At 45.4% G+C, this 8,430-nt stretch overlaps 1 annotated feature.

Moving 5' to 3' along the window:
- Positions 3,110 to 3,759: an enhancer, noted in NCBI's record as "NANOG hESC enhancer chr16:87122126-87122775 (GRCh37/hg19 assembly coordinates)". NCBI's record gives its function as "activates a minimal SCP1, AML or CMV promoter by ChIP-STARR-seq in naive H9 embryonic stem cells {active_cell/tissue: H9 hESC(naive)}" and the evidence as "EXISTENCE:reporter gene assay evidence [ECO:0000049][PMID:30033119]".

Raw genomic sequence — 8,430 nt, forward strand, 5'->3', positions numbered from 1 at the left:
TCATGCATGAGTCCTTTTCCCATGCAGCATCCCCTTCTCTCCCCAGGAGAGGGATGGAGAACGAACTGGGAACACATTTTCATCACAGTTTCCCTGTTTGGTTTTAGAAATATCAAGACTTGATGAAATTGCATTTCCACAATTAGCTGTTGGAGTGGGAGACACCTACCCCATCCAATCACCAAAGTAATTTTTTCCTGTGTTAGAACAGAGAGGAACTTGGCTGGAGTCCACTCGGGGTGAGTGCAAGCTGGAAAATCCAGGTGGCTGAGGATTATATCCAGAGTTGCTTCTGACATGCCCCAATTTGGGTTTTGCTATAACATTCCGAAGGACATTTCAGAGTATATTCGTTATAGTCAAATGCACGCTGGTGTTTGCTCAATTTGCTTCCTTTACATTTTAGGTCCCATGGTATCCAAGAGAAATTCAATGCCAGCATTCAATTCCTTTCATGTAAATCATCAAATTTCCAGGCTGGACAGAGATCTGTTCAAGTCCTCTCCTTGACCCAGGTCCATGCTACCTTCAAAAAGAATTTCACCCCAGTCCAAATTCCAAAGGATAAGATTCAGCCAAGGGCCCTGGAGCCTTGCTGGGTTCTATGGGTTTGGAATTTGGATGAGGGTGCTGAGTCCACTTCCAGGGGGACTGAACCACTCTTCCTCTTCATACCAATGCAAACACCCTTTTGGCCACTGGCTCAGTCACCCTTTGATTTGGATAAAAAGGAAAAGTCCTGATTTCCCAGAAGGGAGCAGGTGGTCCCAGAGCATCCAAGCCCAAGGAAAAGGACTCATGCATGAATTTAAGTCCAAATTGGAGCCAGATTTACAGTGGCCAGGAGCATTCTGCTTGGCACGGACATCCACAGAGGCTGTGGATATCCGTGTGTCTCAGCAATGACTCACCTCACAGGCCCACCATGGAAGGGTCAGGCCAGAGAGAAGCGACTGAGCCACAGACTGTGCAGCCAGCTACTGCGATCAGAAAGAAAGAGCTTATATGTGCATGCAAGCCTGTTTACAACTCTGTACCAGGAAATGGCTTTTTAGTGGGCTAGCACATGCAGCCTCAGACATGACCTTCATTTGACTCTGGGGCTTCTGATTTAGCTCAGCTATAATGAAGGCTCCTGTGGCCAACACAGACCAAAACACAAGAGACTGCATCCAACACTGGATAGTCAAACTCCCCTGGCATATTTCCTCTGGCTCCCTGGGCTGGGAAGGAAAGAATCAGGAGTTCACCATTTTTCCCCATCCACCAACAACACCATCACCCAAAGCCTGCCCCTGGGCATCAGCAATTCTGCCTCTAACTGCTGAAAGTCAGCCAAGGGATCATCCCAAAATTCACATATCCAGATAATCATGACTAGACTGTTTCCCAGGGCTACTATGCTGCTAGAGTGAGGAAGCATACAACTCCCTAAATGTGAAATTCAATTGGCTACAGTAAAAGTCAATCACAAGGTATGCAATACCCACAGACCCCAGGCAACCCTGTTCCTAATCCTGCAGTCACTGAGGCCATGATTTACTGGGTTAATTTTGGGCTCCTGAATAGAGCGCTGCCAATTCATAGGAGGCACCCATCAGGGTGTTTACTTGGGAAAAAGAAAGAATTAATCAGTTGATGACAGGAGCAAAGAAGGAAAAGTTAAAAGACAGACATTCAGGAGTCATGCCTAACTGAGGTTAGGAGAAACAGAAACTCTGAGTGGGTAGAATCCAGGAGCTAAGAGGAGGTAGATGTGCACCTTCGCATCAACAGAAACCAGGAGATGAAAACAGCGTAATCTCTGTACCTTCTGCTCAATGTTGCCGTAAACCTAAAACAACCCTAAAACATTAAGTCTATTTAAAAACAAACAGGGAAGGCAGAGTGGACAAAATAGAAGGGGTTGACCTTCCCAGTCACTGAGGAAATGGTGGGATTAGAGCCCTCAGGAGGCAGAGTGGAGTTCTGAGACCCAAACCCAAGAGACTGAGCTCAATCACCATGGAGTGGAGATCTCAAGCCAGCTGAAGGGTGCAAGGAGATGTTGTCCCTCAGGCGCCCAAGGGTGCTCTCACCTTCTTCATTGGGTGTTCTCACCTGCTTCGTTGGGCCACATAAACCCCAAATGAAACCCTAAGTCCCAAACCAACTGAAAGGACACCCCCTCTTGGCCAAGAGGACCCCATAGCAACCTGAAAAACTAAATTCCAGGCCAGGCACAGTGGCTCACATCTGTAATCCTAGCACTTTGGGAGGCCAAGGAGGGCAGATTGCTACAGGAAAGGGGTCCCGATCCAGACCTCAGGAGAGGGTTCTTGGATCTCACTCAGTTCTTGGATTCAGGGCTTGTCCATCGAGTAAAGTGAAAGCAAGTTCATCAGGAAAGTAAAGGAATAAAAGAATGGCTACTCCATAGACAGAGCAGCCCCAAGGGTGGCTGGTTGCCTATTTTTATGGTTATCTCTTGATGATATACTCCACAATAGGTGGATTATTCCTGCCTCCCCTTTTTAGACCATGTATGGTAACCATCTGACATTACCACGGCATCTGTAAACTGTCATGACACTGGTGGGATGTAGCAGTGAGAATGATCAGAGTTCCATCCTTGGTCACACCATCTTGGTTTTGGTGGGTTTTAGCCAGCTCCTTTACTGCAACCTGTTTTTATCAGCAAGGTCTTTATGACCTGTATTTTGTGCTGATCTCCTATCTCACCTTGTGACTTGGAATGCCTTAACTGTTTGGGAATGCAGCCCAGTAGGTCTCAGCCTCATTTTAGCTAGCTTCTATTCAAGATGGAGTTGCTCTGGTTAACATGCTTCTGACAGGATCACTTGAGGTCAGGAGTTCAAGACCAGCCTGGCCAACATGGTGAAGCCCTGTCTCTACAAAAAATACAAAAATTAGCTGGCAGTGGTGCTGCACACCTGTCATCCCAGCTGCTCAGGGGGGCTGACGCGGGAGAACTGCTTGAACCTGCCAGCTGGAGGGTGCAGTGAGCTGAGATCGCACCACTGCACTCTAGCCTGGGGGACAGAATAAAACTCTGTCTCAAAAAAAAAAAAAGAAAAAAAAAAAAAACTGGAATCCAGGCCCTAACAGGAAGGGAGGTTGGATACACTTTGTTACACACCTCCCTTTTGGAGTTTAGGCACAACTGACCAGCATTAACATTAAAATAGAGATCGTGAGACAGACAAAACATATTCTTTGCGGCAATAACATATCAAATCCCAACATGATTCTAGTATAGCATCACATAACAGCAGAGCCTGAAGGAAATCAAAATATTTTGCCCCAAAATATATTTCCTTGACATATTTTATAATGGTCCTGCAACACAGTTATTTGTAGGGAAATTTTTGCATCTGTAGAGAATCTTCATTAATGCAGCCAGATCTTTATTGGATTTAAGAGAGATTAAGTAAAAGTCTAACACCTTTAGCACCTATTCTCTCTGAAGACTGCTACCCAGGAGGCATCAACTACATAACAAGAACCTTGGTCTCCACAACACCCCTTATCTGAACTTTCTACTGACTTTAAGTCTTTAGACAAAGCTTAACTCTTTCAACCAATTGCTAATCAGAAAATCTTTGAATCTACCTATGACCTGTAAGCCTCCCTGCTTTGCGATGTTCTACCTTTCTGGGCCAAACCAATATACACATTACACATACTGACTTATGTCTTTGCCTGTAACTTCTGTCTCCCTAAAATGTATAAAATTAAGCTGTAACCTGACCGCTTTGGGTACACTTTCTCAGGACCTACTGAGACCATCCTTCAGGCCATCGCCACTCATATTGGCTCAAAATAAACCCCTTTTCGTATTTTACAAAGTTGGCTTAAAAAAAAAAATTGAGACAGGGTCTTACTCCCATTGCCCAGGCTGAAGTGCAGTGGCATAATCTCAGCATACTATGGCCTCAACCTCTCGGGCTCAAGCAATCCTCCTCCCTCAACCAGTCTCCTGAGTAGCTAGGACTTCAGGCGTGCACCACCACACCCAGCTTTTGTTTGTTTTTTTTTTTTTTTTTTTTTTTTTTTTGTATTTTTTGTAGAGATAGGATCTCTCTATGTTGTTCAGGCTGGGTTCAAGCAATCCACCTGCCTCGGCCTCCAAAAGTGTGGGGATGATAGGTGTGAGCCACTGCACCTGGCCTGCTTTTTCTTTTTTCCTGTCAACAGCCATGAGGCCACTTGCAACCAGTGCCACATGTTCAGCCAAGTAGAAATGTGGGATCATTCCACACTTCGATGTTTAGCATATCTTTACAGGAGCACCTGCCTGGACAACAGTTCTGGTAGCAGTACTCTCTCCAAGAGAGGAACTCAGCGAGTTAGGATGGGGGCTAGATCCACCTCCTGGCTCCTTTTTCCTTCCTTTCTGTAAATCTTCCTCCCACACATCAAGCAATTCCTACTGACCCGAAAGATGAGGGAAACTGATAATTAACTGGCTCTAAGGGGCATTGCCTAAGAGGAGACACATAGAGAGGATCAGCCTCTAAAAGGGGCGCTTCAGACAGGATGACAGTCTGCACATGGGTGCATTTTAAAGCAAGGAACCATTCACAACTGCCATAAGCCTAACTAGTCCTCCTACAAAGTTAATTCAGCAAGGCAACTCCTTCAGGCCTTGGGACCAAGTTGGATCCCAAGAATGAACAGTGAAGATGTGTGTGGAAAATGGGAAAAGAGCCCATGCTGCTTCTGGACAGATGGGGTGGGCAGTTCCCTAGGCAAAGGATGAATTTAGATGGAGTTAGCATGAGGCTGGTTTTCTTGGTGTTGGGCCCTGATGTCTAATCCTCATAGCCTTCTGAAACGAACATACATCCATCCACATTTTGAAGAGGAGGAAACTAAGACTCAGTTATGGGATTTGCTGAAAGTTTAACAACTAGTGGTGAGTGGTTGAGTTGGGATTCAAATCTGAATAGTTTCAGGATCACAATGTTCTCCCACCTAAGAGCTATAACCATTTAGAATCAGTAAACTTTTATTAAAATTCTGGAAGAACGGTAAGTAACAAGCTCAATGTGCCGCGGTGGATTTTAAGAATATAAGAACTTAGGAGGAGTTGAACTCATTGGTAAGCTATTTCTGAATTTTCCAAGGCAAGTTTCTTTTTCACAAGGCTAATTCCTTTCCTCAAATTTTTCATCAAGATATTTTTCATCCAGCCCTCCTCTTTCAGGAATAGATCACCAGTTGGGTGTACATTGGTACAACTTATCTGTAGAGCATATTAGTAATGTGTATAAAGAACCTCAGAAAGGTTCCTACCATTTGATTGCCTGACCTCATAATTTACCATCCAAATAAGGACATTTTCAAAGATAAAAGGGAGCACTATGACTAATTATACCAGGACAACAGGAGAAAACAGAAACTATCGCAGGCAAACCTGTGGTATAGACAGCCTACTTTAGACCAAGTAAGCTAACACCCAGGACCCACTCTTAAAAAATCTATTTATCCATCCATCACTCATTCACTCATAAATATTAATTAAGCACCTACTATATGTCAAATTCAACACTTATGTTCAAGGACCATCATTACTGCATTGATTTTTAAGAGCAAATAAACTCTTATTTGTAAACAAATAAAACCCACGTGGTCAACAGCAGATACGGTTATAACACAAATAGTTATATTCTGGGGGATCCAGATGATGGAAGACTACGCAGGCCTTAAAAAACAAATTTTCTCCTAATGAATTAATCTGAAATATAAACAAAATATTAAAAGTATGAGACAACCATATGTTTGTCATGATCCCAATTTTATAAGAATATGTAAATATGTACATTTATGCATTAACATAGACTAAAATGGCACACAGCACATCAAAGAGGCAACGGTAGATCTCTCTGGATGACATCACTACGAGCGACCTTCTATTTTTTTCTGTGTATCTTTCTTTCTGAGTTTGGCATGAGAAACAGGACATTGAGTGTCTCTGGGAGCATCAAGAGAGCTGCTTGATGCAATGCAAGGAGCAGACTCTCCAACTCAGTCAGCCTTGAGTCTAAATCCTGGCCCCCTCATCTTTGAGCTATGTGACCTTCAGCAAGTGCCTTTGCCCCTCTGCATCTCTTTCTTTCTGAATTTGGCATGAGAAACAGGACACTGAGTGTCTCTGGGAGCATCGAGAGACCTGCTTGATGCAATGCAAGGAGCAGACTCTCCAACTCAGTCAGCCTTGAGTCTAAATTCTGGCCCCCTCATCTTTGAGCTATGTGACCTTGAGCAAGTGCCTTTGCCCCTCTGTACCTCTGTTCCCTAACGCACAGAACGGGAACAGTCATGGTGCCTCCTCAGCAGTCTGCTCGGAGGACTGTGGAGCAGCACTGGCCACGCCTCTCTCCCACCTGCCCTCATCCTAGTGCCGCCATCTTGGTCACATACTTTCTCAGATCCAGGCTTTTCATCTCATGGGAGAAGACGCCAAAGCTGAGGGAGTTGACATCCACAGTTCCTTCAGCATGAGAACTACAAGGCCTTTTGGTAATTCCAAAAATGATGTCTTCTTGCCAACAATGTTGGGCTCTGGGAGCCCTAATCCTGGGCCCTGCAGGCATTTTTTCTCTTCAGCAGCAGCAATGTCTTAACAGGTGGACTGGACTTCTGATTCAAATCCCAGATCTTCGAGGGACTCTCTCTGTGCCCCAAGGTGAATTATTTTACCTCTCTGTGCCTACGATGTAAAATGGAGACAAAATAAAACCTACCTTCTGGGGTAGTTGTGTGGATTTAAAGACTTAACATAACACAAAAACACTAAGAAGCACACCTGGCGTCTAGTAAGTGTTCAGTCAATATTTGCTGTCTGTGATCAGTGCTTCCTCTGTTCATCTTGGGTGTCTCCAGCAACCTCTTCTGAAAACTAAACAACCCAGCTGTCCACAGGATGCCTGCAGCAAGCAGATCTACACCATGCTTTTGTGAATCAAAAATGCCCCTTTGCGGCCAGGCGCGGTGGCTCACGCCTGTAATCCCAGCACTTTGGGAGGCTGAGGCGGGTGGATCACGAGGTCAGGAGTTCGAGACCAGCCTGACCAACATGGTGAAACCCTGTCTCTACTAAAAATACCAAAATTAGCCGGGGATGGTGGCGCGCCTGTAATCCCAGCTACTCAGAAGGCTGAGGCAGTAGAATCGCTTGAACCCAGGAGGCAGAGGTTGCAGTGAGCCGAGATCGCGCCACTGCACTCCAGCCTGAGCAACAGGGGGAGACTCTGTCTCAAAAAAAAAGAAAAAAAAATTGTATTTGGTAAAATACACATAACTTAACCACTAATGATATTTAGTACATTAATAATTTTGTGCAAACATCACCACTACCTAGTTCCAGAAGATTTTATCACCCCAAAAGGAATCCTCGTACCCAATTCATTGATGACTCCCCATTCCCTTCTGCCCAGCCAGCCACTAATCTGCTTTCTGTCTATGGAGTTGCCTATTCTGGACACTTTATAGACATAAAATCATCCAACTTGTGACCTTGTTTCTGGCTTTTTCCACTCAGCATCATGTTTTCAAGCTTCATCCAGGTTGTAGCATGTGTCAGAGCTTCATTCCCTCTTAGTGGCTAAGTGATATTCCACTGGGTGGATGGACCACATTTGTTTATCCATTGATAGATGCGTGGGTTGTGTCTGCCTTTCGCCCACTGTGAGTAATGCTGCTGTGGACATTCACGTGCACGCTGTTGTTTGAACACCTGTGCTTGGTTCTTTCAGGTACATATCCAGGAGTGGAATCTCTGGGTCCTAGAACTCTTGTGTTTCACTTACTATGGAGCTGCCTGGCTGTTTTCCTTGGCCCTACACTGTGTCTCACTCCCATCCGCAGTGTAGGTGGCTCCAATTCCTCCACATCCAGGGTGTCTCTTGGCCATCTTTTCAACTTCAAGTGGGCCTTTGTCAACAGCAGAGCCCTGTCAGCCTCCTGTCCACCCCCAGCCCCTGCAGGTCTCCCACACTCATGGCAAATGGCAGGGCATTGCCTGAAAGAGCCACAGGAAGGTGAGCGCCGTCTTGGGGTGGTGCTCTCTTCTGGCCTGAAGGGCGCTGTCAGTGTGGAATAAAATGGCAAATCCCATAGCCCAAGGGAGCAGCCAACACAGAAGGGACATGGACATATTGACAAGCATCCCTGGGAACACATTTGCTTCTGATCGGGGTGCTCTGGGCAGTGCCCTGTTTGTCTGCACTTGTGATTACTGGCACATTCTTCTCCTCTCTGATGTCCAAGCACGCACTCTGCCTGCATACCAACCCTGCTTGGAAATGGTGGGTTTGATTGACCTCAGCACGGGGCTGTCCTAAACTGCAGCAGCTCGGTTTTACAGTAAAATGCATGAGATGTAACAGTGTCTTCCTCAGAGGCCCCCATGTCAGAAGTGAGTTC

Source organism: Homo sapiens, chromosome 16 (assembly GCF_000001405.40).
Source record: "Homo sapiens chromosome 16, GRCh38.p14 Primary Assembly".
NCBI lineage: Eukaryota > Metazoa > Chordata > Mammalia > Primates > Hominidae > Homo > Homo sapiens.